The 27,857-nt window shown below is 49.6% G+C and overlaps 2 protein-coding genes across 30 annotated transcripts in view, besides 11 other annotated features; one reads left to right on the top strand and one right to left on the bottom strand.

Annotated features, from left to right (window-relative positions):
• The window catches only part of WRAP53 (WD repeat containing antisense to TP53), a 17,432-nt gene extending 7,734 nt beyond the window's left edge, over positions 1-9,698 (bottom strand). Inside the window, exons 1-4 of one of the 4 annotated variants that reach the window (NM_001143990.2) lie at positions 9,545-9,698; positions 6,690-7,121; positions 6,447-6,545; positions 6,068-6,179 (exon numbers count right to left, since the gene is read on the bottom strand). In NM_001143990.2, the coding sequence (NP_001137462.1) occupies positions 6,068-6,179; positions 6,447-6,545; positions 6,690-7,120 (642 nt within the window). In that variant the 5' untranslated portion in view covers position 7,121; positions 9,545-9,698. Of the gene's footprint in view, positions 1-6,067; positions 6,180-6,446; positions 6,546-6,689; positions 7,421-8,165; positions 8,341-9,544 lie in introns of those variants that run through there. The other 3 variants (NM_001143991.2, NM_001143992.2, NM_018081.2) reach the window with 3 other exon arrangements.
• Positions 7,341-7,390: an enhancer, noted in NCBI's record as "active region_11643". NCBI's record gives its function as "activates an Ori minimal core promoter by ATAC-STARR-seq in GM12878 lymphoblastoid cells {active_cell/tissue: GM12878}" and the evidence as "EXISTENCE:reporter gene assay evidence [ECO:0000049][PMID:35858748]".
• Positions 8,189-9,388: an enhancer, noted in NCBI's record as "BRD4-independent group 4 enhancer chr17:7589699-7590898 (GRCh37/hg19 assembly coordinates)". NCBI's record gives its function as "activates an origin of replication core promoter dependent on BRD2, P300/CBP, MED14 and CDK7 cofactors, and independent of BRD4, by STARR-seq in HCT116 cells {active_cell/tissue: HCT116}" and the evidence as "EXISTENCE:reporter gene assay evidence [ECO:0000049][PMID:35650434]".
• Positions 8,189-9,409: a biological region, named in NCBI's record as "BRD4-independent group 4 enhancer GRCh37_chr17:7589699-7590898".
• On the top strand, positions 8,279-27,348 carry TP53 (tumor protein p53). 26 transcript variants are annotated; one of them, NM_001407269.1, is made up of 12 exons: positions 8,279-8,392; positions 19,150-19,248; positions 19,366-19,387; positions 19,497-19,775; positions 20,533-20,716; positions 20,798-20,910; positions 21,479-21,588; positions 21,932-22,068; positions 22,161-22,234; positions 22,430-22,562; positions 25,054-25,160; positions 26,079-27,348. In NM_001407269.1, exons 4-10 carry the CDS (start codon positions 19,518-19,520, stop codon positions 22,460-22,462), a joined length of 909 nt encoding a protein of 302 aa, NP_001394198.1. In that variant the 5' UTR covers positions 8,279-8,392; positions 19,150-19,248; positions 19,366-19,387; positions 19,497-19,517; the 3' UTR covers positions 22,463-22,562; positions 25,054-25,160; positions 26,079-27,348. The 26 variants fall into 14 exon arrangements, 25 of the variants coding, with proteins under 25 accessions (NP_001394198.1, NP_001394197.1, NP_001263624.1 ...); NM_001276695.3 differs by having other exon boundaries at positions 19,147-19,248; positions 22,503-22,562; NM_001276696.3 differs by having other exon boundaries at positions 19,147-19,248.
• Positions 8,862-9,409: an enhancer, noted in NCBI's record as "NANOG-H3K27ac-H3K4me1 hESC enhancer chr17:7589678-7590225 (GRCh37/hg19 assembly coordinates)". NCBI's record gives its function as "activates a minimal SCP1, AML or CMV promoter by ChIP-STARR-seq in primed H9 embryonic stem cells {active_cell/tissue: H9 hESC(primed)}" and the evidence as "EXISTENCE:reporter gene assay evidence [ECO:0000049][PMID:30033119]".
• Positions 9,349-9,398: an enhancer, noted in NCBI's record as "active region_11642". NCBI's record gives its function as "activates an Ori minimal core promoter by ATAC-STARR-seq in GM12878 lymphoblastoid cells {active_cell/tissue: GM12878}" and the evidence as "EXISTENCE:reporter gene assay evidence [ECO:0000049][PMID:35858748]".
• Positions 9,429-9,558: an enhancer, noted in NCBI's record as "active region_11641". NCBI's record gives its function as "activates an Ori minimal core promoter by ATAC-STARR-seq in GM12878 lymphoblastoid cells {active_cell/tissue: GM12878}" and the evidence as "EXISTENCE:reporter gene assay evidence [ECO:0000049][PMID:35858748]".
• Positions 9,859-9,918: a silencer, noted in NCBI's record as "silent region_8136". NCBI's record gives its function as "represses an Ori minimal core promoter by ATAC-STARR-seq in GM12878 lymphoblastoid cells {active_cell/tissue: GM12878}" and the evidence as "EXISTENCE:reporter gene assay evidence [ECO:0000049][PMID:35858748]".
• Positions 16,966-17,576: an enhancer, noted in NCBI's record as "H3K27ac hESC enhancer chr17:7581511-7582121 (GRCh37/hg19 assembly coordinates)". NCBI's record gives its function as "activates a minimal SCP1, AML or CMV promoter by ChIP-STARR-seq in primed H9 embryonic stem cells {active_cell/tissue: H9 hESC(primed)}" and the evidence as "EXISTENCE:reporter gene assay evidence [ECO:0000049][PMID:30033119]".
• Positions 17,577-18,188: an enhancer, noted in NCBI's record as "NANOG-H3K27ac-H3K4me1 hESC enhancer chr17:7580899-7581510 (GRCh37/hg19 assembly coordinates)". NCBI's record gives its function as "activates a minimal SCP1, AML or CMV promoter by ChIP-STARR-seq in naive and primed H9 embryonic stem cells {active_cell/tissue: H9 hESC(naive and primed)}" and the evidence as "EXISTENCE:reporter gene assay evidence [ECO:0000049][PMID:30033119]".
• Positions 18,189-18,800: an enhancer, noted in NCBI's record as "NANOG-H3K27ac-H3K4me1 hESC enhancer chr17:7580287-7580898 (GRCh37/hg19 assembly coordinates)". NCBI's record gives its function as "activates a minimal SCP1, AML or CMV promoter by ChIP-STARR-seq in naive H9 embryonic stem cells {active_cell/tissue: H9 hESC(naive)}" and the evidence as "EXISTENCE:reporter gene assay evidence [ECO:0000049][PMID:30033119]".
• Positions 27,060-27,857: an enhancer, noted in NCBI's record as "H3K4me1 hESC enhancer chr17:7571230-7572027 (GRCh37/hg19 assembly coordinates)". NCBI's record gives its function as "activates a minimal SCP1, AML or CMV promoter by ChIP-STARR-seq in naive H9 embryonic stem cells {active_cell/tissue: H9 hESC(naive)}" and the evidence as "EXISTENCE:reporter gene assay evidence [ECO:0000049][PMID:30033119]".

Here is a 27,857-nt window from a genome sequence, read left to right as displayed (position 1 = left end):
GGTTAGGAACAGGGAGATTAAAGATTAAAGGATGAGAGAGACCCTGGCTTTTGGCTTGGATACCTGAGGTCACCAAAATGGCGGGCGAACAGGAGAGCACCGGAAGGCTGTACAGTGCCAACGTCGTCAGCGGGAGAGAGAATCAGCATAAGCCTCAAGGGAAAAGTTTCACAAAGACGAAAGAGCAATTGTGTGGCTACAGCATTTGGGAATGAGGACATTCCCCGTCCCCACCCTGAGAGATAAAGGGTACAGAGGATGCAAAGTGTCTCCTGGAGAGGGCAAGACGAGGAGTAAAGGCTTCCTGCAAGACCCACGGGGCAGGGCAAGTACTCAGGAAAGACGCTGGGGAGCTGGAAATGAGACTTGCAGAAAGTTCTGTGAAAAGGTGGAAAAGAAAGGAGAAAACCCGAGAAACTATATTGGGAAGAAGACTCAGTACACACAAGTATATGGAAATACCCAAATACACCCTTCCCCAATTTTCTGACCTATACAAATTTTATCTATTTAAGGCCGGGTGCAGTGGCTCACGCCTGTAATCCCAGCACTTTGAGAGGCCAAGGCGGGCGGATCACGAGGTCAGGAGATCGAGACCATCCTGGCTAACATGGTGAAACCCCGACTGTACTAAAAATACAAAAAATTAGCCTGGCGTGGTGGCAGTGGGTGCGTGTAGTCCCAGCTACTCGAGAGGCTGAGGCAGGAGAATGGCGTGAACCCGGGAGGCGGAGCTTGCAGTGAGCTGAGATCGCGCCACTGCACTCCAGCCTGGGGGACACAGCAAGACTCCATCTCAAAAAAAAAAAGTTATCTATTTCAAATGCTAAGCTTGTAGACACTAAAAATGAAAATACCTAATGAGAGAGGTTGCGATAGAACTGGTACACTAGCAGGAAAAAAAAAAAAAAAAGCACAAAAAGGTTTTGGTTGTTTGTTTTGAGACAGAGTCTCACTCTGTCGCCCAGGCTAGAGTACAATGGTGCAATCAAAGGTCATGGCAGCCTCAACCTCGCAGGCTCAAGCGATCCTCCCACCTCAGCCTCCCAAGTAGCTGGGACCATAGGCCCAACTTTTTTGATAGAGACAGGATCTGGCTGTGTTACCAAGGCTGGTCTCAAACTCCTGGGCTCAAGCATTCCTCCCACCTTGGTCTCCCAAAGTGCTGGGATTATAGGCATGAGCCACCACACCAGCCACAAAAATCTTTTGAAAACAAACTGACTGGCCAGGAGCAGTGGCTCACGCCTGTAATCCCAGCACTTTAGGAGGCGGAAATGGGTGGATCACTTGAGGTCGGGAGTTTGAGACCAGCCTGGCCAACTTGGCGAAACCCCATCTCTACTAAAAATACAAAAATTAGCCGGGTGCGGTGGTGCGTGCCTGTAATCCCAGCTACTCAGGAAGCTGAGGCAGGAGAATCGCTTGAACCGGGAAACAGAGGTTGCAGTGAGGCAAGATCACACCACTGCTCTCCAGCCTGGGCCACAGAGCGAGACTCTGTCTCAAAAAAAAAAAAAAAAAAAGAAAGAAAAAAAGAAAACAAATTGACTATCTGTATTGCAAGATATATTTTTTAAAATGTTTTAATATTATAATCATTAATATCATAATCACGACCATGCCTGGCTAACTTTGTATCTTTTTTAGTAGAGACGGGGTTTCACCATATTGGCCAGGCTGGTCTCGAACTCCTGACCTTAGGTGATCCACCCGCCTCGGCCTCCCAAAGTGTCGGGATTACAGGCGTGAGCCACCAGGCCTGACCCTGCTCTGCTATTTCTACCATGACAATTTATTCAGCTTCATCAAAAACTTATTTACAGTCCAGTTCCTTACCCACTGTAGATTCTAGTCCACCATGGCATGCACACTCTTGAAGACACTCTCAGGATACCCTTGTCTTTCTCTCCTGGTAAACCTCAACCATACCATCCTCCTATTCTTGGCTTGCACACAACTGATACCAGTGACTACTAGTGTTTACCGAACACTTACTATATGCTAGGTGCTGTTTTAAGTACTTTTTTTTAATTTTATTATTTTTTTTTGAGACTAAGTCTTGCTCTCTTGCCCAGGCTGGAGTGCAGTGGTGCGATCAGCTCACTGCAACCTTCGCCTCCTGGATTCAAGCAATTCTCCTGCCTCAAACCTCCCAAGTAGCTGGGATTACAGGCGCCCGCCACTAAGCCCGGCTAATTTTTGTATTTTTAGTAAAGACAGGGTTTCACTATGTTGGCCAGGTCGGTCTTGAATTCCTGACCTCAGGCGATCCACCTGCCTCGGCCCCCCAAAGTGCTGGGATTATAGGCGTGAGCCACCGCACCCGGCCTTAAGTGCTTTAATTCATTACTGATTATTTTAATTCTCACAACTCTGTGAGGCAGGTGCTATTATAATCATCCCCATTTTACAAACAGAGAAACTATAGTCATTTAACTTGCCAGGAAAGATGCACAGTCACACTAACTGGTCTCATTTCAAATTAATGGCAACAGACCTCTAGCGGGTACCGAGCAAAGAGCAACACAACTGCCACATGCCTTGGTGGGTCTGATTTTTTGAAACTCCGTCTCAAAAAAAAGAAAAAAAAGAAAGAGTGCTGATGGAGGAGGAGAAGGCCCAGCAGAGCCCTGAGTGCCTGAGTGCTCCAGCGCAGGGAGGTGGAGACAGTGACTCATGCTGCTAAGAGATGCAGTGAGGCGAATTTAGAGAATGACCCAAGAGGGGCTGGGCGCGGTGGCTCATGCTTGTAATCCCAGCACTTTGGGAGGCCGAGGCAGGAGGATCACGAGGTCAGGAGATCGAGACCATGGTGAAACCCCGTCTCTACTAAAAATACAAAAAATTAGCCAGGCGTGGTGGCGGGCGCCTGTAGTCCCAGCTACTCGGGAGAGGCTGAGGCAGGAGAATGGCGTGATCCCGGGAGGCAGAGCTTGCAGTGAGCTGAGATGGCGCCACTGCACTCCAGCTGGGTGACAGAGCGAGACTCTGTCTCAAAAAAAAAAAAAAAAAAAAAAAAGGAGAATGACCCAAGAGGACATTAGTGACCTTGACAAGAGCACTTTCAGGAAGCGATGGAGGCAGAACCTGATTAGGATGGGTGGGAGAAAACTATAGCCAATCTTTTTTTTTTTTTTTTTTTTTTGAGACGGAGTCTTACACTGTTGCCTGGACTGGAGTGCAGTGGTGCAATCCTGGCTCACTGCAACCTCCATCTCCTTGGTTCAAGTAATTCTCCTGCCTCAGACTCCAGAGTAGCTGGGATTACAGGCGCCCGCCACCACGCCCAGCTAATTTTTTGTATTTTTAATAGAGATGGGGTTTCATCATGTTGGCCAGGCTGGTCTCGAACTCCTGACCTCAGGTGATCCACCTGCCTCAGCCTCCCAAAGTGCTGGGATTACAGGAGTCAGCCACCGCACCCAGCCCCAACTAATTTTTGTATTTGAGTAGAGACAGGGTTTTACCATGTTGGCCAGGCTGGTCTAAAACTCTTCACCTCAGGTGATCCACCCATCTCAGCCTCCCAAAGTGTTGGGATTACAGGCGTGAGCCACCGTGCCTGGCCCTGGATTTCACTCTTGCCCACCCATAAACCATTCACTCTTCTGTTTTAAAACTCTCTTGGCCGGGCGCAGTGGCTCATGCCTGTAATCCCAGCACTTTGGGAGGCCAAGGTGGGCAGATCACAAGGTCAGGAGTTCGAGACCAGCCTGGCCAATATGATGAACCCCCCATCTCTACTAAAAAAATACAAAAAAATTAGCCGGGTGTGGTGGCACATGCCTGTAATCCCAGCTACTCGGAAGGTTGAGGCAGGAGAATCACTTAAACCTGGGAGGCGGAGGTTGCGGTGAGCTGAGATGGTGCCACTGCACTCCAGCCTGGACAACAGAGCAAGACTCTGTCTCAAACAAACAAACAAAAAAAACCTCTCTCATGGCCTGGCATGGTGGCTCACGCCTGTAATCCTAGCACTTTGGAAGGCTGAGGCAGGTGGATCACCTGAGGTCAGGAGTTTGAGACCAGCCAGGCCAACGTGGCAAAACCTGTCTCTACTAAAAATACAAAAATTAAGCCAGGCGCGGTGGCTCATGCCTATAATCCCAGCACTTTGGGAGGCCGAGACCGGCGGATCAAATGTCAGGAGTACGAGACCATCCTGGCCAATATGGTAAAACCCCGTCTCTATTTAAAAAAATACAAAAATTAGCTGGGCATGGTGGCGGGTGCCTGTAATCCCAGCTACTCGGGAGGCTGAGGCAGGAGAATCGCTTGAATCCAGGAGGCAGAGGTTGCAGTGAGCCGAGATCACGCCATTGCACTCCAGCCTGGGCGACAGAGCAAGACTCGTCTCAAAAAAAAAAAAAAAACACCTCTCTCATGACTTCCCAAATAAACTCCAAATGCCTTACCCATAAGAACCAACACGACGTGGCTGCTCTTCTCTGTCCTCACCCCTCTGTCCCCCTCACTTGCCTCAGTCTGGCTATACCAGCATTCTGGGTTTTTTGTTTTGTGTTTGTTTGTTTGTTTGTTTGTTTGTTTGTTTGTTTTGGGATGGAGTCTCACTCTGTCACCCAGGCTGGAGTGCAGTGACATGATCTTGGCTCACTGCAACCTCCATCTCCTGGGTTCAAATGATTCTTCTGCTTCAGCCTCTCAAGTAGCTGGGATTACAGGCACCCACCATCACACCCAGCTAATTTTTGTATTTTTGTAGAGATGAGGTTTTGCCATGTTGGCCAGGCTGGTCTCAAACTCTTGACCTCAGGTGATCTGCCCACCTCAGCCTCCCAAAGTGCTGGGATTACAGGTGTGAGCCACTGAGCCCAGTCTGTTTTGTTGTTTTTTGAGATGGAGTCTCACTCTGTCGCCCAGGCTGGAGTGCAGTGGTACAATTTTGTCTGACTGCAGCCTCCACCTCCTGAGTTTAAGAGATTCTCCTGCCTCAGCCACACAAGTAGCTGGGATTACAGGCGCGTGCCACCACATGCGTCTAATTTTGGTATTTTTAGTAGCGATGGGGTTTTGCCATATTGGCCAGGCTGGTCTCGAACTCCTGGCCTCAAGTGATCTGCACACCTCGGCCTCCTGAGTAGCTGGGATTACAGGCGTGAGCCACCATGCAGGGCCTTTCTGGTCTTTTAACGCACAAAGCTATTTCCCAGTTCTGGGTGTTTATAGTATCATTGCCAGTTCCTGGAAAGCTCTTTCCAGAAGCCTTCACATGACTGATCCCTTATCCTCCTTCAGGTCTTAGCTCAAATGCCTCCTTTTCAGAGAGCTCCTTCCTGACCATTTTATGCAATGTGCTTTCCTCTAGTTAGTCTCTCTTCATTCTGTGTATTTCCTTCAGAGCATTTATCATCATCTTGGTCCTGATGCTTGCTGGTTTACATGTTTGTTGTCTGTCTCCCACACAGAAAGCAAACCAGCCCTTCATCTGTCTTGTCCACCACTTTATCCCAGCACAGTGACTAACATATATCAGTAGTCAATCAATAAATAGCTATAAGCCAGGCACGGTGACTCACACCTGTGATCCCCGCACTTTGGGAGGCCAAGGTGGGCGGATCCTCTGAGGTCAGGAATTTGATATCAGCCTGCCCAACATGGCGAAACCCCGTCTCTACTAAAACTATAAAAATTAGTCGAGTGTGATGGCGTGCGCCTGTAATACCAGCTACTTGTGAGGCTGAGGCAGGAGAATCGCTTGAACCCGGGAGGCAGAGGTTGCAGTGAGCCGAGATCACACCACAGCACTCCAGCCTGGGTGACAGAGCAAGACCTTGTCTCAAAAAAATAAGAAATAGAAATATATATATGCTGCCACAAGAAATTCACTACTTTTTAGCAAAAAACACAGATTCCTAATTAAAGAAAGGGGAAACCTCTCTCTAAATAACTTCAGAATTCGGGGCAGAAAACGCTACATGTGGAAACTCGTCTTGAAAAACAGTCCCGTTTGTGAACAGGAAACACTTGGACTACACTTTTTCCATCTCCACGAAGGACTTAAATGTGCAGCATTGATGAAGAGGCAGTTAGCCCCAGTCCTTACCATTTCTGCATATTCCACCTGCTCCCCCTCATGGTACAGCTCTGGGGGCAGGTTATAAATTCGCAAGATGTTATCAGCACTATTGGTCAAGATGCAGGAACCGTCAGGAGCCCTAGAAACAGGGGAGAGTTAGAAAGCTGGCCAGACCTATGCTTTTCAAGTGTAGGGCTAGGGCTGAGCCTGCCTCTGGGGTAGGTAAGCCCCCCTGAATCCTTGAGGGAAGTAGAAGACACAAACTGCTAGATAAAATGTAAGCTCAGTCTAAAAGGGCTACGTGCCGCTTCTCCCAGCTCTGGGGCATCCCTCTCCTAGAAAACTGGACTGTTTTACAGTGAAAATCTCGGGGGTGGTCAGCTCCCTGCCCCGTTGTTATCCTTACCACTTACAGCCTTTCAAGAAGTTCTCAGGTTGGGTGCTGAACTCTGACCAGGAACCACTGAGAAATCGAGGCAGCTGGGAGAAGCTGTAGTTCCAAGCGCTGAAAGGAAGATGGGGGACAATAAACCTGGGTCGCCAAGCAAAGGGGGCAGAGGCCTGGAGAAGTGGGTCTCAGGACCAGAGGACAGATCGACCTCACACTTCATCTCCCCAGACTCCACACTCCACTGCCATCACCACTTACGTGTCTCCCTCGTCCTCTGCAGCGGGTTCCCCAGAGGTATCTTCCATGGCTTTTCCAGACCCCAACTCTGGCCCGTTCGCTTCTTCTTCAGAAAGGCTCCCGTTTGCTTCTTCTGCAGGAAGGCTTGTATTTTCAGAAAGTTCTTGCTCCTCGATTCGAGGACTCAACTCACTAGGGGAACCAAACTCTGTTTCCAGGGGAGTGGAGAGAGAAACTGGGTCCCCCTCCCGTAGCTCCTGGGACACAGCTGAGCCAGCCACAGGATCTGGGGACAACCGGGGCGGATCCCCCCTTTCGGGAGGCGGTGGCATCAGTTCAGAGTCCGCATTTTTATTCATCGGGGAAGCGTGGGGAGAAGGATGGGCTGGAGCTGGGTCCTGGTCTGAAGGACAGCAGTCCGGAGCTAACGGTTGAGTCTCCAAAGTCTTCATACTGCAGAGGAAGCACAGCGGAGATTAGCCTCAGCCAGGATGGCTTCGAAGTTCTCAGGGATCCGACGCAGAGCTAAAGAAACCCACCTGTGCTTCCCTCCTCTTCTGGGAGTAGGCAGAAGACTCCCGGGAGGAGAGGCGAACAGCGGACGCCAATTCTTTTGAAAGCACTGTGTTCCTTAGCACCGCGGGTCGCTACGGGCCTCTTGCTGTCGCGGGATTTCGGTCCACCTTCCGATTGGGCCGCCGCATCCCGGATCAGATTTCGCGGGCGACCCACGGAACCCGCGGAGCCGGGACGTGAAAGGTTAGAAGGTTTCCCGTTCCCATCAAGCCCTAGGGCTCCTCGTGGCTGCTGGGAGTTGTAGTCTGAACGCTTCTATCTTGGCGAGAAGCGCCTACGCTCCCCCTACCGAGTCCCGCGGTAATTCTTAAAGCACCTGCACCGCCCCCCCGCCGCCTGCAGAGGGCGCAGCAGGTCTTGCACCTCTTCTGCATCTCATTCTCCAGGCTTCAGACCTGTCTCCCTCATTCAAAAAATATTTATTATCGAGCTCTTACTTGCTACCCAGCACTGATATAGGCACTCAGGAATACAACAATGAATAAGATAGTAGAAAAATTCTATATCCTCATAAGGCTTACGTTTCCATGTACTGAAAGCAATGAACAAATAAATCTTATCAGAGTGATAAGGGTTGTGAAGGAGATTAAATAAGATGGTGTGATATAAAGTATCTGGGAGAAAACGTTAGGGTGTGATATTACGGAAAGCCTTCCTAAAAAATGACATTTTAACTGATGAGAAGAAAGGATCCAGCTGAGAGCAAACGCAAAAGCTTTCTTCCTTCCACCCTTCATATTTGACACAATGCAGGATTCCTCCAAAATGATTTCCACCAATTCTGCCCTCACAGCTCTGGCTTGCAGAATTTTCCACCCCAAAATGTTAGTATCTACGGCACCAGGTCGGCGAGAATCCTGACTCTGCACCCTCCTCCCCAACTCCATTTCCTTTGCTTCCTCCGGCAGGCGGATTACTTGCCCTTACTTGTCATGGCGACTGTCCAGCTTTGTGCCAGGAGCCTCGCAGGGGTTGATGGGATTGGGGTTTTCCCCTCCCATGTGCTCAAGACTGGCGCTAAAAGTTTTGAGCTTCTCAAAAGTCTAGAGCCACCGTCCAGGGAGCAGGTAGCTGCTGGGCTCCGGGGACACTTTGCGTTCGGGCTGGGAGCGTGCTTTCCACGACGGTGACACGCTTCCCTGGATTGGGTAAGCTCCTGACTGAACTTGATGAGTCCTCTCTGAGTCACGGGCTCTCGGCTCCGTGTATTTTCAGCTCGGGAAAATCGCTGGGGCTGGGGGTGGGGCAGTGGGGACTTAGCGAGTTTGGGGGTGAGTGGGATGGAAGCTTGGCTAGAGGGATCATCATAGGAGTTGCATTGTTGGGAGACCTGGGTGTAGATGATGGGGATGTTAGGACCATCCGAACTCAAAGTTGAACGCCTAGGCAGAGGAGTGGAGCTTTGGGGAACCTTGAGCCGGCCTAAAGCGTACTTCTTTGCACATCCACCCGGTGCTGGGCGTAGGGAATCCCTGAAATAAAAGATGCACAAAGCATTGAGGTCTGAGACTTTTGGATCTCGAAACATTGAGAACTCATAGCTGTATATTTTAGAGCCCATGGCATCCTAGTGAAAACTGGGGCTCCATTCCGAAATGATCATTTGGGGGTGATCCGGGGAGCCCAAGCTGCTAAGGTCCCACAACTTCCGGACCTTTGTCCTTCCTGGAGCGATCTTTCCAGGCAGCCCCCGGCTCCGCTAGATGGAGAAAATCCAATTGAAGGCTGTCAGTCGTGGAAGTGAGAAGTGCTAAACCAGGGGTTTGCCCGCCAGGCCGAGGAGGACCGTCGCAATCTGAGAGGCCCGGCAGCCCTGTTATTGTTTGGCTCCACATTTACATTTCTGCCTCTTGCAGCAGCATTTCCGGTTTCTTTTTGCCGGAGCAGCTCACTATTCACCCGATGAGAGGGGAGGAGAGAGAGAGAAAATGTCCTTTAGGCCGGTTCCTCTTACTTGGCAGAGGGAGGCTGCTATTCTCCGCCTGCATTTCTTTTTCTGGATTACTTAGTTATGGCCTTTGCAAAGGCAGGGGTATTTGTTTTGATGCAAACCTCAATCCCTCCCCTTCTTTGAATGGTGTGCCCCACCCCGCGGGTCGCCTGCAACCTAGGCGGACGCTACCATGGCGTGAGACAGGGAGGGAAAGAAGTGTGCAGAAGGCAAGCCCGGAGGTATTTTCAAGAATGAGTATATCTCATCTTCCCGGAGGAAAAAAAAAAAGAATGGGTACGTCTGAGAATCAAATTTTGAAAGAGTGCAATGATGGGTCGTTTGATAATTTGTCGGAAAAACAATCTACCTGTTATCTAGCTTTGGGCTAGGCCATTCCAGTTCCAGACGCAGGCTGAACGTCGTGAAGCGGAAGGGGCGGGCCCGCAGGCGTCCGTGTGGTCCTCCGTGCAGCCCTCCGGCCCGAGCCGGTTCTTCCTGGTAGGAGGCGGAACTCGAATTCATTTCTCCCGCTGCCCCATCTCTTAGCTCGCGGTTGTTTCATTCCGCAGTTTCTTCCCATGCACCTGCCGCGTACCGGCCACTTTGTGCCGTACTTACGTCATCTTTTTCCTAAATCGAGGTGGCATTTACACACAGCGCCAGTGCACACAGCAAGTGCACAGGAAGATGAGTTTTGGCCCCTAACCGCTCCGTGATGCCTACCAAGTCACAGACCCTTTTCATCGTCCCAGAAACGTTTCATCACGTCTCTTCCCAGTCGATTCCCGACCCCACCTTTATTTTGATCTCCATAACCATTTTGCCTGTTGGAGAACTTCATATAGAATGGAATCAGGCTGGGCGCTGTGGCTCACGCCTGCACTTTGGGAGGCCGAGGCGGGCGGATTACTTGAGGATAGGAGTTCCAGACCAGCGTGGCCAACGTGGTGAATCCCCGTCTCTACTAAAAAATACAAAAATTAGCTGGGCGTGGTGGGTGCCTGTAATCCCAGCTATTCGGGAGGGTGAGGCAGGAGAATCGCTTGAACCCGGGAGGCAGAGGTTGCAGTGAGCCAAGATCGTGCCACTACACTCCAGCCTGGGCGACAAGAACGAAACTCCGTCTCAAAAAAAAGGGGGGAATCATACATTATGTGCTCATTTTTGTCGGGCTTCTGTCCTTCAATGTACTGTCTGACATTCGTTCATGTTGTATATATCAGTATTTTGCTCCTTTTCATTTAGTATAGTCCATCGATTGTATATCCGTCCTTTTGATGGCCTTTTGAGTTGTTTCCCATTTGCGGTTATGAAATAAAGCTGCTATAAACATTCTTGTACAATTCTTTTTGTGATCATATGTTTTCGTGTTTCTTGGAGAAATACTTAGGAGGGGAATTGCGAGTTTGGAAGTAAAAAGTAGCTGTATTTTGAACTTTTTCAGAAGCTCTGAGTTTTCCAGAGCGGTTGTACCATTTTACACTCCAACTAGCAAGGTATGGGAGTTATTATGGTTGTGCCACAGCCTTCCGGACATTAGGTATTGTCAGTCTTTCTAATGTGGTATATCCTTGTGGTTGTAATTTACAGTTCTCTATTGACTAAGGATGTTCAGCATTTTTTCATGTGCCTATTGGCCATTCGTATTTTGTTTGTAAAGTAGCTCTTCGAGTCTTTTACCTGTTATTTTGGTTTTTTGTTTGTTTTTATTGTTCAGTTGTGGGACTGCTTTATACATTCTGGATACAAGTCCTTTATCAGATCCATGTGTCGTGAATGTTTTCTTCTGATCTGTTGCTTGCCTATTTGTTTGCTTTACAGAGTTTACAGTATCTTAAGAGGAGTGGATTTATCTTTTTTATGTTCAGTATTTGCCTTGTCCTGTTTAGGACATCTTTTTTTTTTTTTTTAACCCCAGGGTCATGAAGATATTATCTTACATTTTCTTTTAGGACCTTTATGGTTGTAAGTTTTACAGTAAGGTCCTTGAGCCATTAATTAATTCTTAAAATTAATTGTTTATGGTGTGAGGTGTAGGAGTCAGTCTCTGGTATCTTTCCTGTATGGAAATCCAGTTATTCTGTCTCCACTTGTTGAAATAGGCTTCCTTTCTCTACTGAATGCTTTTAATTTTAATTATTTTACAGTTGGAGTATAGGGCTACCATTTTAGTGCTATTTTCTTTTTTTCTTTGTTAATTTTTGAGACAGGGACTCACACTGTTGCCCAGGCTAGAGTACAATGGCACAATCAAGGCTTACTGCAGCCTCGAACCCCTGGGCTCAAGCAGTCCTCTAGCAGCCTCACGAGTAGCTGGGATTACTCCACCACACCCAGCTAACTATTTTATTTTTTTGTATTGACAGGATCTCACTATGTTGCCCAGGCTGGTCTCAAACTGCTGGCCTCAAGCTTTCATCCCATCTCGGCCTCCCAAAGTGCTGGGATTACAGGTGTGAGCCACCATGCCTGACCTCTTAGTGCTATTTTCTATTTATCTCCTCTGTTCTCTGCTCTCTTTAAACGTTGGAGGAAGAAACAGTACCCATCTTACACAAACTCTTCAGAAAACAGAGGAACAGACTGGGCGCGGTGGCTCATACCTGTAATCTCAGCACTTTGGTACGCTGAGGCAGGGGATCATTTGAGGTCGGGAGTTCGAGACCAGCCTGGCCAACACGGCGAAACCCCATCTCTACTAAAAATACAAAAAGTAGCTAGGCGTGGTGACACATACCTGTAATGCCAGTTACTCAGGAGGCTGAGGCACAAGAATCCCTTGAACCTGGGAAGCGGAGGTTGCAGTGAGCCGAGATTGCGCCACTGCACTCCAGCCTGGGCAACAGAGTGAGACCCTGTCTCAGAAAAAAAAAGAAAGAAAGAAAAAATAGAGGAATATTTCCCAACTTGTTTTCGAAGCCAGCATAATCCTGGTACCAAAACCAAACAAGGACATTATAAGAAAAGAAAATATAGACCAATATTCCTGTTAGCATAGACATGCAACAGCTAACCAATTTTAGCAAACCAAACCTGGTAATATAGAAAAAAGGATAAATAGGCCAGTCGCGGTGGCTCACGCCTGTAATCCCAGCACTTTGGGAGGCTGAGGCAGGCAGATCACTTGAGGTCAGGAGTTTGAGACCAGCCTGACCAACATGGTGAAACCCCGTTTCTAATAAAAATACAAAAATCAGGCTGGGCACGGTGGCTCACGCCTGTAATCCCAGCACTTTGGGAGGCCGAGGTGGGCAGATCACGAGGTCAGGAGTTCAAGACCAGCCTGACCAATGTGGTGAAACGCCATCTCTACTAAAAATACAAAAATCAGCCGGTGTGGTGGCACCTGCCTGTAATCCCAGCTACTCAGGAGGCTGAGGCAGAATTGCTTGAACCCGGGAGGCAGAGGTTGCAGTGAGCCAAGATCGTGCCACTGCACTCCAGCCTGGGCGACAGAGCAAGACTTCATCTCAAAAAAAAAAAAAAATTAGCTGGGCATGGTGGTGGGCACCTGAAATCCCAGCTACTCGGGAGTCTGAGGCAGGAGAATCGCTTGAACCCAGGAGGCAGAAGTTGCACTGAGCTGGGATCACACCATTGCACTCCAGCCTGGGCAACAGAGTGAGACTCCATCTCAAAAAAAGAAAAAGAAAAAGGATAAATACATTCTAACCAAATAATGTTTATCTCATGATTGTAGCTGATTCAACATTCAAAAATTGGCCTGGTGCAGTAGCTCAGGCCTGTAATCCCAACATTTTAGGAGGCTGAGGCAGGAAGATCTCTTGAGCCCAGGATTTCAAGACCAGCCTGGGCAACATAGTCAGACTGGTCTTTACTGGGGGGAAAAAAATCAGTCTGTGTAATTCACCACATTAACAAAGGGAAACATAAAAACCCTATGATCATTTCAACAGATGTAGCAAAAGCAGTTAATGATATTCAACACATATGCATGATTACAAACCAACCAACCTCCTAGCAAACTAGGGAAAGGAAACTTAACCTAGTTTGATAACAGGGCGTCCACAGTCGGAGTTCCACTAGCAGCATACATAATGGTAGAAAACTCAGTGCTGCCGGGCGCGGTGGCTCACGCCTGTAATGCCAGCACTTTGGGAGGCCTAGGCGGGCGGATCACGAGGTCAGGAGATCGAGACTGTCCTGACTAGCATGCTGAAACCCCGTCTCTACTAAAAATACAAAAACAAAAAATTAGCCGGGCATGGTGGCGGGCGCCTATAGTCCCAGCTACTCGGGAGGCTGAGGCGAGAGAATGGCGTGAACCCGGGAGGCGGAGCTTGCAGAGCCTAGATCGTGCCACTGCACTCCAGCCTGGGTGACAGAGTGAGACTTCGTCTCAAAAAAAAAAAAAAAAAAAAAAGAAAAGAAAACTCAACGCTTTTTCCTCTAAGATCAGGAACTAGAAAAGGATTTGACTCTCACAACGTTGATACCATACTGGAGGTTTTAACCAGGCAAGAAAAAGAAATAATGAGGGCCGGGTGCGGTGGCTCAGGCCTGTAATCCCAGCACTTTGGGAAGCCGAGACGGGTGGATCACGAGGTCAGGAGATCGAGACCATCCTGGCTAACACGGTGAAACCCTGTCTCTACTAAATATACAAAAAATTAGCCGGGCGTAGTGGCGGGCGCCTGTAGTCCCAGCTACTCGGGAGGCTGAGGCAGGAGAATGGCGTGAACTCAGGGGGCGGAGCTTGCAGTGAGCTGAGATCGAGCCACTGCACTCCAGCCTGGGCGACAGAGCAAGACTGTGTCTCAAAAAAAAAAAAAGAAAAAGAAATAATGATTAGTGGCCCGATGTCTCACGCCTATAATCCCAGCACTTTGGGAGGCCGAGGTGGGCAGATCACCTGAGGTCTGGAGTTGGAGACCAGCCTGACAAAGATGGTGAAACCTCGTCTCTATTAAAATATTAAAAAAATAGCCAGGCGTTGGCCGGGTACAGTGGCTCATGCCTGTAATCCCAGCACTTTGGGAGGCCGAGGTGGGTGGATCACCTGAGGTCAGGAGTTCAACACCAGCCTGGCCAACATGGTGAAACCCCATCTCTACTAAAAATACAAAAATTAGCCGGGCGTAGTGGCGGGCGCCTGTAATCCCAGCTACTTGGGAGGCTTAGGCAGGAGAATCGCTTGAACCTGGGAGGCGGAGGTTGTAGTGAGCCGAGATTGCACCATTGCACTCCAGCCTGGGTGACAAAAGCAAAAACTCCGTCTCAAAAAAAAAAGAATTAGCCAGGGGTAGTGGTGAACGCCTGTAGTCCCAGCTACTCAGGAGGCAGAGGCAGGAGAATCACTTGAACCCAGGAGGCAGAGGTTGCAGTGAGCCGAGATTGTCCCATTGCACTCCAGCCTAGGCGACAAGAGCAAAATTCCATGTCAAAAAAAAAAAAAAAAAAGGAAAGAAAAAAAATAACGATTAGAAAGGAAGAAATAAAACACATTCACAGCCAGTATGATTCTATACATACATGTCCTAATGGGGCCAGGCGTGGTGGCTCATGCCTGTAATCCTAGCACTTTTAGGAGGCTGAGGCAGGTGGCTTCCCTGGGACCAGCCTGGCCAACATGGTGAAACCCCAACTCTAATAAAAATACAAAAAATCAGCCAGGCGTGGTGACGGGCACCTCTAATCCCAGCTACTCAGGAGGCTGAGGCAGGAGAATTGCTTGGACCTGGGAGGCAGAGGTTGCAGTGAGCCGAGATCGCGCTATTGCACTCCAGCCTGGGCAACAAGAGTGAAACTCCGGCAGGGTGTGGTGGCTTACGCCTGTAATCCCAGCACTTCGGGAGGCTGAGGCAGGCCGATCACCTGAGGTCAGGAGTTTGAGACCAACCTAACATGGTGAAACCCCGTCTCTACTAAAAATACAAGAATTAGCTGGGTGTAGTGGTGGGCGCCTGTAATCCCAGCTACTTGGGAGGCTGAGACAGAAGAATTGCTTGAACCCAGGAGGTGGAGGTTGCAGTGAGCTGAGATCATGCCATTGCACACCACGCCGGGCAACAGAGCGAGATTCCGTCTCAAAAAAAAAAAAAAAGAGTGAAACTCTATCTCAAAAAAAAAAAAAAGTCCTAATGGAAAATCCATAAAAAGCTACCAAAACTAATAAATAAATATAGCAGGGTTGCAGGTTACAGGGCAATATAGTTATCCCTCTATCTGTAGGGGCTTGGTTCTGGGACTCCTCACACACCAAACCCACAGATGTCTAAGTCCCATATATAAGACGGTATAGTATTTGGATTTAACCTACACATATCCTCCCATATAGTTTAAATTATCTCTAGATTACTTACATTACCCCCATACAATGAAAATGCTAATGTACATGCAAGTATGTATGTAAGTACTTGTACTATATTGTTTAGGGAATCACTGGACATATAGGCCTTCAAGACTGATACCAGCAGCCACTGTTAAGATTCTGGTCAGGCCTGCCCCTGTTTGGGGTCTCAGTTGATCTCATTGCCTTCCCACCCAGCCAAGGGCACCTGCATTTCTCTTGGCTCCCTGGCCATTTGGAAGGCCTAGTTCAGCCTGGCACATTTGTATCCTGGCCCACTGATGCTGGTACCCCTGGGAAGGTCCTGCTCTGAAAAACACGGAGATTTTAGTTGCTACTGAAGATTTGAGAGATAAAGACAGGGAGACCTGTCTGTAGACCTGTGTCCCTCCAAGTGGGATTGAGACTTTGGGCCCCCCATTTCAGGACAGCACCTCCTGGCCTGTTGACTGAATAGATCCCTGAAGGAGGTGTACTTGCATTAATGGAGTGGGGGTGGGAGCAGTACCACAGATCCGCACTAACAATCACACAGTTCTCTCTAGAATAATAATATAGAACAAGTGAAATAGAACAATTGCAGAAAGAGCTAACCTTTGTTGAGCTCTTACTGTGTGCCCAGCACTTTCCTCAACTCTACATTTCCCATAATACACAGAGTACTAGGTAGGCCAGGCTTGGTGGCTCACGCCTGTAATCCCAGCACTTTAGGAGGCCAAGGGGGGTGGATCACCTGAGGTCGGGAGTTCAAGACCAGCCTGACCAACATGGTGAAACCCCGTCTCTACTAGAAGTACAAAATTAGCCAGGTGTGGTGGCACATGCTTGTAGTCCTAGCTACTCAGCAGGCTGAGGCAGGAGAATCATTTGAATCCGGGAGGAGGTTGCAGTAAGCGGAGATAGTGCCACTGTACTCCAGCCTGGGCAATAAGAGCTGAGACTCCGTCTCAAAATAAAATAAAATAAAATAAAATAAAATAAAATAAAATAAAAAAAGAAAAGAGCCTGCCATTAAAGGAGCTGTTTGGTAGGGGATGTTTTGTCAGTGCAAACAACAGAAAAGTGGGCTGGGCACAGTGGTTCATGCCTGTAATCCCAGCACTTTGGGAGGCCAAGGCGGGCGGATCACCTGAAGTTGGGAGTTCAAGACCAGCCTGACCAATATGGAGAAACCCCGTCTCTACTAAAAATACAAAATTAGCCGGGCGCAGTGGCGCATGCCTGTAATCCCAGCTACTCGGGAGGCTGAGGCAGGAGAATCGCTTGAACCTGGGAGGCAGAGGTTGCGGTGAGCCGAGATCGCACCATTGCACTCCAGCCTGGACGAGAGCAAAACTCTGTCTCAAAAAAAAAAAAAAACAGAAAAGTGTAACAAACACTTACAGTAGGCATGTTTCTTAGCAAATCTGATGACAAATTTGGCATAAAGAAAGAGAGCATCCCTGAAAAAAAAAAAAAGAAAAAGAAAGAGAGCATCCTGCCTGGGCAACATAGTGAAACCCTGCCTCTACAAAAAAACTCAAAAATTGGCCGGGTGCAGTGGCTCACACCTGTAATCCCAGCACTTTGGGAGTCGGAGGCGGGAGGATCACCTGAGGTCAGGAGTTCGAAACCAGCCTGGCCAACATGGCAAAACCCCATCTCTACTAAAAATACAAAAAATTAATCAGGCGCATTGGTGGGCGCCTGTAATCCCAGCTACTCAGGAAGTTGAGGCAAGAGGATCGCTTGAATCTGGGAGGTGGAGGTTACAGTGAGTCGAGATCACACCACTGCACTCTAGCCTGGGTGACAGGGCGAGACTCCGTCTCCAAAAAAAAAAAGAAAAAGAAAAAGACTAAAAAATTAGCCAGGCAGGCCTCTGTGGTCCCAGCTACTTGGGAGGCTGAGGCAGGAGAATCACTGAGCCCAGGAGTCCGAGGCTGTAGTGAGCCATGATTGCACCACTGTACCCTAGCTTGGGCAACAAAGCAAGACCCTGCCTCAAAAGAAAAAAGAAAGAAAGAAAGAACATGGCGGGCCAGGCACAGTGGCTCACACCTGTAATCCCAGCGCTTTGAGAGGCCGAGGCAGGTGGATCACAAGGTCAGGAGTTCCACACCAGCCTGGCCAACATGGTGAAACCCTGTCTCTACTAAAAATACAAAAAATCAGCCAGGCATGGTGGCAGGGGCCTGTAATCCCAGCTACTCGGGAGGCTGAGGCAGGAGAATTGCTTGAAACCAGAAGGCAGAGGTTGCAGTGAGCCTAGACTGCACCACTGCACTCCAGCCTGGGCGAAAAGAGCCAAACTCCATCTCAAAAAACAAACAAAAAAACAAAACAAAAGAAAACATGGCAAAGCCTTTGAAAGCTTGTCTGGGAGAAGGTGCGATGATAGTTGCATAACTTCGTGCAAGATGCTGGTCCACACAGGGGCTGCCCCTTGCTCTTTCTCGCTCTCTTAACCTCTCATATAACAGGCTTGTGTGTTATTCACATTTATTGAGCCCAAGCAGGTGCAAGGCATTGTGATCTAATACTTTGGTCAGCAAGACAACAAGATAGATCACTGCCCTGCCCTTAGGAAGTGTATATGCTATTAGAGGAAACAGATAAAATAAACAAGGAAAAGTATCAGACAATGTAAGTGCTATGAGAATGCAAATGAGGTGATGTGAATTAAAATAGGATGACTTAAAGTCTGCACGGGAAGGAGCCTACCCCCATGTTCCTGGCTAGCCAAGGAACCACCAGTTGATTAGCAGAGAAGGGCAGCCAGTCTAGCTAGAGCTTTTGGGGAAGAGGGAGTGGTTGTTAAGAGATGAGATTAAAGAAGCCGAGACGGGCCATTCGTGAGGGGTTTGTAATGCAGGGCTGAGGAGTGTCCGAAGAGAATGGGCAGGTGAGCGGTGAGACAGTTGTTCTTCCAGAAGCTTTGCAGTGAAAGGAATCAAAGAAATGGAGCCGTGTATCAGGTGGGGAAGGGTGGGGGCCAAGGGGGTGTCCTTCCCCATACAGAGATTGCAGGCTGAGAATGACTATATCCTTGTTAACAGGAGGTGGGAGCAGGGCACGGTAGCTCACACCTGTAATCTTGGCACTTTAGGAGGCTGAGGCGGGCCGATCACCTGAAGTAAGGAGTTCGAGACCAGCCTGGCCAACATGCAAAGCCCTGTCTCTACTAAAAATACAAAAATTAGCTGGGTGTGGTGGTACTCGCCTGTAATCCCAGCTACTCGGGAGACTGAGGCAGGAGAATGGCTTGAACCCGGAAGGTAGAGGTTGCAGTGAGCTGAGATCATGCCACTGTGCTCCAGCCTAGGTGACAGAGAGAGACTCCATCTCAAAAAAAAAAAAAAAATACAGGAAGGGAGTTGGGAATAGGGTGCACATTTAGGAAGTCTTGGGGATTTAGTGGTGGGAAGGTTGGAAGTCCCTCTCTGATTGTCTTTTCCTCAAAGAAGTGCATGGCTGGTGAGGGGTGGGGCAGGAGTGCTTGGGTTGTGGTGAAACATTGGAAGAGAGAATGTGAAGCAGCCATTCTTTTCCTGCTCCACAGGAAGCCGAGCTGTCTCAGACACTGGCATGGTGTTGGGGGAGGGGGTTCCTTCTCTGCAGGCCCAGGTGACCCAGGGTTGGAAGTGTCTCATGCTGGATCCCCACTTTTCCTCTTGCAGCAGCCAGACTGCCTTCCGGGTCACTGCCATGGAGGAGCCGCAGTCAGATCCTAGCGTCGAGCCCCCTCTGAGTCAGGAAACATTTTCAGACCTATGGAAACTGTGAGTGGATCCATTGGAAGGGCAGGCCCACCACCCCCACCCCAACCCCAGCCCCCTAGCAGAGACCTGTGGGAAGCGAAAATTCCATGGGACTGACTTTCTGCTCTTGTCTTTCAGACTTCCTGAAAACAACGTTCTGGTAAGGACAAGGGTTGGGCTGGGGACCTGGAGGGCTGGGGACCTGGAGGGCTGGGGGGCTGGGGGGCTGAGGACCTGGTCCTCTGACTGCTCTTTTCACCCATCTACAGTCCCCCTTGCCGTCCCAAGCAATGGATGATTTGATGCTGTCCCCGGACGATATTGAACAATGGTTCACTGAAGACCCAGGTCCAGATGAAGCTCCCAGAATGCCAGAGGCTGCTCCCCCCGTGGCCCCTGCACCAGCAGCTCCTACACCGGCGGCCCCTGCACCAGCCCCCTCCTGGCCCCTGTCATCTTCTGTCCCTTCCCAGAAAACCTACCAGGGCAGCTACGGTTTCCGTCTGGGCTTCTTGCATTCTGGGACAGCCAAGTCTGTGACTTGCACGGTCAGTTGCCCTGAGGGGCTGGCTTCCATGAGACTTCAATGCCTGGCCGTATCCCCCTGCATTTCTTTTGTTTGGAACTTTGGGATTCCTCTTCACCCTTTGGCTTCCTGTCAGTGTTTTTTTATAGTTTACCCACTTAATGTGTGATCTCTGACTCCTGTCCCAAAGTTGAATATTCCCCCCTTGAATTTGGGCTTTTATCCATCCCATCACACCCTCAGCATCTCTCCTGGGGATGCAGAACTTTTCTTTTTCTTCATCCACGTGTATTCCTTGGCTTTTGAAAATAAGCTCCTGACCAGGCTTGGTGGCTCACACCTGCAATCCCAGCACTCTCAAAGAGGCCAAGGCAGGCAGATCACCTGAGCCCAGGAGTTCAAGACCAGCCTGGGTAACATGATGAAACCTCGTCTCTACAAAAAAATACAAAAAATTAGCCAGGCATGGTGGTGCACACCTATAGTCCCAGCCACTTAGGAGGCTGAGGTGGGAAGATCACTTGAGGCCAGGAGATGGAGGCTGCAGTGAGCTGTGATCACACCACTGTGCTCCAGCCTGAGTGACAGAGCAAGACCCTATCTCAAAAAAAAAAAAAAAAAAGAAAAGCTCCTGAGGTGTAGACGCCAACTCTCTCTAGCTCGCTAGTGGGTTGCAGGAGGTGCTTACGCATGTTTGTTTCTTTGCTGCCGTCTTCCAGTTGCTTTATCTGTTCACTTGTGCCCTGACTTTCAACTCTGTCTCCTTCCTCTTCCTACAGTACTCCCCTGCCCTCAACAAGATGTTTTGCCAACTGGCCAAGACCTGCCCTGTGCAGCTGTGGGTTGATTCCACACCCCCGCCCGGCACCCGCGTCCGCGCCATGGCCATCTACAAGCAGTCACAGCACATGACGGAGGTTGTGAGGCGCTGCCCCCACCATGAGCGCTGCTCAGATAGCGATGGTGAGCAGCTGGGGCTGGAGAGACGACAGGGCTGGTTGCCCAGGGTCCCCAGGCCTCTGATTCCTCACTGATTGCTCTTAGGTCTGGCCCCTCCTCAGCATCTTATCCGAGTGGAAGGAAATTTGCGTGTGGAGTATTTGGATGACAGAAACACTTTTCGACATAGTGTGGTGGTGCCCTATGAGCCGCCTGAGGTCTGGTTTGCAACTGGGGTCTCTGGGAGGAGGGGTTAAGGGTGGTTGTCAGTGGCCCTCCAGGTGAGCAGTAGGGGGGCTTTCTCCTGCTGCTTATTTGACCTCCCTATAACCCCATGAGATGTGCAAAGTAAATGGGTTTAACTATTGCACAGTTGAAAAAACTGAAGCTTACAGAGGCTAAGGGCCTCCCCTGCTTGGCTGGGCGCAGTGGCTCATGCCTGTAATCCCAGCACTTTGGGAGGCCAAGGCAGGCGGATCACGAGGTTGGGAGATCGAGACCATCCTGGCTAACGGTGAAACCCCGTCTCTACTGAAAAATACAAAAAAAAATTAGCCGGGCGTGGTGCTGGGCACCTGTAGTCCCAGCTACTCGGGAGGCTGAGGAAGGAGAATGGCGTGAACCTGGGCGGTGGAGCTTGCAGTGAGCTGAGATCACGCCACTGCACTCCAGCCTGGGCGACAGAGCGAGATTCCATCTCAAAAAAAAAAAAAAAAGGCCTCCCCTGCTTGCCACAGGTCTCCCCAAGGCGCACTGGCCTCATCTTGGGCCTGTGTTATCTCCTAGGTTGGCTCTGACTGTACCACCATCCACTACAACTACATGTGTAACAGTTCCTGCATGGGCGGCATGAACCGGAGGCCCATCCTCACCATCATCACACTGGAAGACTCCAGGTCAGGAGCCACTTGCCACCCTGCACACTGGCCTGCTGTGCCCCAGCCTCTGCTTGCCTCTGACCCCTGGGCCCACCTCTTACCGATTTCTTCCATACTACTACCCATCCACCTCTCATCACATCCCCGGCGGGGAATCTCCTTACTGCTCCCACTCAGTTTTCTTTTCTCTGGCTTTGGGACCTCTTAACCTGTGGCTTCTCCTCCACCTACCTGGAGCTGGAGCTTAGGCTCCAGAAAGGACAAGGGTGGTTGGGAGTAGATGGAGCCTGGTTTTTTAAATGGGACAGGTAGGACCTGATTTCCTTACTGCCTCTTGCTTCTCTTTTCCTATCCTGAGTAGTGGTAATCTACTGGGACGGAACAGCTTTGAGGTGCGTGTTTGTGCCTGTCCTGGGAGAGACCGGCGCACAGAGGAAGAGAATCTCCGCAAGAAAGGGGAGCCTCACCACGAGCTGCCCCCAGGGAGCACTAAGCGAGGTAAGCAAGCAGGACAAGAAGCGGTGGAGGAGACCAAGGGTGCAGTTATGCCTCAGATTCACTTTTATCACCTTTCCTTGCCTCTTTCCTAGCACTGCCCAACAACACCAGCTCCTCTCCCCAGCCAAAGAAGAAACCACTGGATGGAGAATATTTCACCCTTCAGGTACTAAGTCTTGGGACCTCTTATCAAGTGGAAAGTTTCCAGTCTAACACTCAAAATGCCGTTTTCTTCTTGACTGTTTTACCTGCAATTGGGGCATTTGCCATCAGGGGGCAGTGATGCCTCAAAGACAATGGCTCCTGGTTGTAGCTAACTAACTTCAGAACACCAACTTATACCATAATATATATTTTAAAGGACCAGACCAGCTTTCAAAAAGAAAATTGTTAAAGAGAGCATGAAAATGGTTCTATGACTTTGCCTGATACAGATGCTACTTGACTTACGATGGTGTTACTTCCTGATAAACTCGTCGTAAGTTGAAAATATTGTAAGTTGAAAATGGATTTAATACACCTAATCTAAGGAACATCATAGCTTAGCCTAGCCTGCTTTTTTTTTTTTTTTTTTTGGAGACAGAGTCTCACTCTGTCACCCAGGCTGGAGTGCAGTGGCGGGATCTCGGCTCACTGCAACCTCCGCCTTCTGGGTTCAAGCGATTCTCCTGCCTCAGCCCACTGAGTAGCTGGGATTACAGGCACCTGCCCCGACGCCCAGCTAATTTTTTGTTATTTATTTATTTTTTTTTTTAGTAGAGATGAGGTTTCACCATGTTGGCCAGGCTAGTCTCGAACTCCTGACCTTGTGATCTGCCTGCCTTGGCCTCCCAAAGTGCTGGGATTACAGGCGTGAGCCACCGCACCCGGCCTGCCTAGCCTACTTTTATTTTATTTTTAATGGAGACAGCATCTTGCTCTGTTGCCCAGGCTGGATTACAGTGATGTGATCATAGCTCATTATACCCTCCTGGGCTCAAGCAATCCCCCTAACTCTGCCTCCCCAGTAGCTAGGACCACAGGCATACACCACCATACCCAGCTAATTTTTAAAATTTTTTGTAGATAGATAGAGTCTCACTATGTTGCCCAGGCTGGTCTCTAGCCTACTTTTTTGAGACAAGGTCTTGCTCTGTCACCCAGGCTGGATAGAGTGCAGTAGTGCAGTCACAGCTCACTGCAGCCTCCACCTCCCAGGCTCCATCCATCCTCCCAGCTCAGCCTCCCAAGTTGCTTCAACTACAGGCCTGCACCACCATGCCTGGCTAATTTTTATTTATTTATTTTTATTTTATTTTATTTTATTTTTTTGAGACTCAGTCTCACTCTGTCGCCCAGGCTGGAGTGCAGTGGCATGATCTCGGCTCACTGCAACCTCTGCCTCCTGGGTTCAAGTGATTCTCCTGCCTCAGCCTCCCGAATAGCTAGGACTACAAGCGCCTGCTACCACGCCCAGCTAATTTTTGTATTTTTAGTAGAGACAGGGTTTCACCATGTTGGCCAGGCTGGTCTCGAACTTCTGACCATGTGATCCGCCCGCCTCGGCCTCCCAAAGTGCTGGGATTACAGGTGTGAGCCACCACGCCCGGCTAATTTTTATTTATTTATTTAAAGACAGAGTCTCACTCTGTCACTCAGGCTAGAGTGCAGTGGCACCATCTCAGCTCACTGCAGCCTTGACCTCCCTGGGCTCCGGTGATTTCACCCTCCCAAGTAGCTAGGACTACAGGCACATGCCACGACACCCAGCTAATTTTTTATTTTCTGTGAAGTCAAGGTCTTGCTACGTTGCCCATGCTGGTATCAAACCCCTGGGCTCAATCAATCCTTCCACCTCAGCCTCCCCAAGTATTGGGGTTACAGGCATGAGCTACCACACTCAGCCCTAGCCTACTTGAAACGTGTTCAGAGCATTTAAGTTACCCTACAGTTGGGCAAAGTCATCTAACACAAAGCCCTTTTTATAGTAATAAAATGTTGTATATCTCATGTGATTTATTGAATATTGTTACTGAAAGTGAGAAACAGCATGGTTGCATGAAAGGAGGCACAGTCGAGCCAGGCACAGCCTGGGCGCAGAGCGAGACTCAAAAAAAGAAAAGGCCAGGCGCACTGGCTCACGCCTGTAATCCCAGCATTTCGGGAGGCTGAGGCGGGTGGATCACCTGAGGTCAGGAGTTCAAGACCAGCCTAGCCAACATGGTGAAACCCCGTCTCTACTAAAATACAAAAATTAACCGGGCGTGATGGCAGGTGCCTGTAATCCCAGCTACTTGGGAGGCTGAGGCAGGAGAATCGCTTGAACCAGGAGGCGGAGGTTGCAGGGAGCCAAGATGGCGCCACTGCACTCCAGCCTGGGCGATAGAGTGAGACTCCGTCTCAGAAAAAAAAGAAAAGAAACGAGGCACAGTCGCATGCACATGTAGTCCCAGTTACTTGAGAGGCTAAGGCAGGAGGATCTCTTGAGCCCAAGAGTTTGAGTCCAGCCTGAACAACATAGCAAGACATCATCTCTAAAATTTAAAAAAGGGCCGGGCACAGTGGCTCACACCTGTAATCCCAGCACTTTGGGAGGTGGAGGTGGGTAGATCACCTGACGTCAGGAGTTGGAAACCAGCCTGGCTAACATGGTGAAGCCCCATCTCTACTAAAAACACAAAAATTAGCCAGGTGTGGTAGCACACGCCTGTAGTCCCAGCTACTCGGGAGGCTGAGGCACAAGAATCACTTGAACCCCAGAGGCGGAGATTGCAATCAGCCAAGATTGCACCATTGCACTCCCGCCTGGGCAACAGAGTGAGACCCCATCTCAAAATAAATAAATAAATATTTTTAAAAGTCAGCTGTATAGGTACTTGAAGTGCAGTTTCTACTAAATGCATGTTGCTTTTGTACCGTCATAAAGTCAAACAATTGTAACTTGAACCATCTTTTAACTCAGGTACTGTGTATATACTTACTTCTCCCCCTCCTCTGTTGCTGCAGATCCGTGGGCGTGAGCGCTTCGAGATGTTCCGAGAGCTGAATGAGGCCTTGGAACTCAAGGATGCCCAGGCTGGGAAGGAGCCAGGGGGGAGCAGGGCTCACTCCAGGTGAGTGACCTCAGCCCCTTCCTGGCCCTACTCCCCTGCCTTCCTAGGTTGGAAAGCCATAGGATTCCATTCTCATCCTGCCTTCATGGTCAAAGGCAGCTGACCCCATCTCATTGGGTCCCAGCCCTGCACAGACATTTTTTTAGTCTTCCTCCGGTTGAATCCTATAACCACATTCTTGCCTCAGTGTATCCACAGAACATCCAAACCCAGGGACGAGTGTGGATACTTCTTTGCCATTCTCCGCAACTCCCAGCCCAGAGCTGGAGGGTCTCAAGGAGGGGCCTAATAATTGTGTAATACTGAATACAGCCAGAGTTTCAGGTCATATACTCAGCCCTGCCATGCACCGGCAGGTCCTAGGTGACCCCCGTCAAACTCAGTTTCCTTATATATAAAATGGGGTAAGGGGGCCGGGCGCAGTGGCTCACGAATCCCACACTCTGGGAGGCCAAGGCGAGTGGATCACCTGAGGTCGGGAGTTTGAGCCCAGCCTGACCAACATGGAGAAACCCCATCTCTACTAAAAATACAAAAGTAGCCGGGCGTGGTGATGCATGCCTGTAATCCCAGCTACCTACTCGGGAGGCTGAGGCAGGAGAATCGCTTGAACCCGGGAGGCAGAGGTTGCGGTGAGCTGAGATCTCACCATTACACTCCAGCCTGGGCAACAAGAGTGAAACTCCGTCTCAAAAAAGATAAATAAAGTAAAATGGGGTAAGGGAAGATTACGAGACTAATACACACTAATACTCTGAGGTGCTCAGTAAACATATTTGCATGGGGTGTGGCCACCATCTTGATTTGAATTCCCGTTGTCCCAGCCTTAGGCCCTTCAAAGCATTGGTCAGGGAAAAGGGGCACAGACCCTCTCACTCATGTGATGTCATCTCTCCTCCCTGCTTCTGTCTCCTACAGCCACCTGAAGTCCAAAAAGGGTCAGTCTACCTCCCGCCATAAAAAACTCATGTTCAAGACAGAAGGGCCTGACTCAGACTGACATTCTCCACTTCTTGTTCCCCACTGACAGCCTCCCACCCCCATCTCTCCCTCCCCTGCCATTTTGGGTTTTGGGTCTTTGAACCCTTGCTTGCAATAGGTGTGCGTCAGAAGCACCCAGGACTTCCATTTGCTTTGTCCCGGGGCTCCACTGAACAAGTTGGCCTGCACTGGTGTTTTGTTGTGGGGAGGAGGATGGGGAGTAGGACATACCAGCTTAGATTTTAAGGTTTTTACTGTGAGGGATGTTTGGGAGATGTAAGAAATGTTCTTGCAGTTAAGGGTTAGTTTACAATCAGCCACATTCTAGGTAGGGGCCCACTTCACCGTACTAACCAGGGAAGCTGTCCCTCACTGTTGAATTTTCTCTAACTTCAAGGCCCATATCTGTGAAATGCTGGCATTTGCACCTACCTCACAGAGTGCATTGTGAGGGTTAATGAAATAATGTACATCTGGCCTTGAAACCACCTTTTATTACATGGGGTCTAGAACTTGACCCCCTTGAGGGTGCTTGTTCCCTCTCCCTGTTGGTCGGTGGGTTGGTAGTTTCTACAGTTGGGCAGCTGGTTAGGTAGAGGGAGTTGTCAAGTCTCTGCTGGCCCAGCCAAACCCTGTCTGACAACCTCTTGGTGAACCTTAGTACCTAAAAGGAAATCTCACCCCATCCCACACCCTGGAGGATTTCATCTCTTGTATATGATGATCTGGATCCACCAAGACTTGTTTTATGCTCAGGGTCAATTTCTTTTTTCTTTTTTTTTTTTTTTTTTCTTTTTCTTTGAGACTGGGTCTCGCTTTGTTGCCCAGGCTGGAGTGGAGTGGCGTGATCTTGGCTTACTGCAGCCTTTGCCTCCCCGGCTCGAGCAGTCCTGCCTCAGCCTCCGGAGTAGCTGGGACCACAGGTTCATGCCACCATGGCCAGCCAACTTTTGCATGTTTTGTAGAGATGGGGTCTCACAGTGTTGCCCAGGCTGGTCTCAAACTCCTGGGCTCAGGCGATCCACCTGTCTCAGCCTCCCAGAGTGCTGGGATTACAATTGTGAGCCACCACGTCCAGCTGGAAGGGTCAACATCTTTTACATTCTGCAAGCACATCTGCATTTTCACCCCACCCTTCCCCTCCTTCTCCCTTTTTATATCCCATTTTTATATCGATCTCTTATTTTACAATAAAACTTTGCTGCCACCTGTGTGTCTGAGGGGTGAACGCCAGTGCAGGCTACTGGGGTCAGCAGGTGCAGGGGTGAGTGAGGAGGTGCTGGGAAGCAGCCACCTGAGTCTGCAATGAGTGTGGGCTGGGGGGCCCAGTGCCCGGGTTCCGGGAGGGGAACAAAGGCTGGAGACTGGGTCAGTCTGCGGGCTGCATGACAACAAGGGAGGGGGTGGCTCCATTCATAACTCAGGAACCAACCGTCCCTCCTCCCCTCCGGCCACGGCTGGCACAAGGTTCTCTCCCTCCCCTGCTTCTAGGACTGGGCTGCTTCCCCCTCGGCAGCCTCTCACCAAGGATTACGGGATTTAAATGTCTGATTTAGCAAGGCTGAGCCTCCAGGGTGGCCATCTGCTCCATCAGAAAGTGGCAGGATACCTGGGTTCCCAAGGGGAACAGGGGTGGGTGCTACTGGATGGAGAGAGGCCAGTGGGAGGCCTGCTAGCCAGGGTCCCAGGAAAGTGGGGGCAGCTAAGGTAAGAGTA

Source organism: Homo sapiens, chromosome 17 (genome assembly GCF_000001405.40).
Source record: "Homo sapiens chromosome 17, GRCh38.p14 Primary Assembly".
Taxonomy (NCBI): Eukaryota; Metazoa; Chordata; class Mammalia; order Primates; family Hominidae; genus Homo; species Homo sapiens.
The sequence above is the reverse complement of the archived record's forward strand: the minus strand, read 5'-3'. Positions and strand labels throughout refer to the sequence as shown.

Excerpts from the sequence above, each read along its gene's own strand:
- TP53 (NM_001126112.3), top strand. The coding sequence starts at position 19,175 with ATGGAGGAGCCGCAGTCAGATCCTAGCGTCGAGCCCCCTCTGAGTCAG. Across the intron at positions 22,069-22,160 it reads CCCAGGGAGCACTAAGCGAG|CACTGCCCAACAACACCAGC; the intron begins GTAAGCAAGCAG and ends CCTCTTTCCTAG. Across the intron at positions 25,161-26,078 it reads GGGAGCAGGGCTCACTCCAG|CCACCTGAAGTCCAAAAAGG; the intron begins GTGAGTGACCTC and ends TGTCTCCTACAG.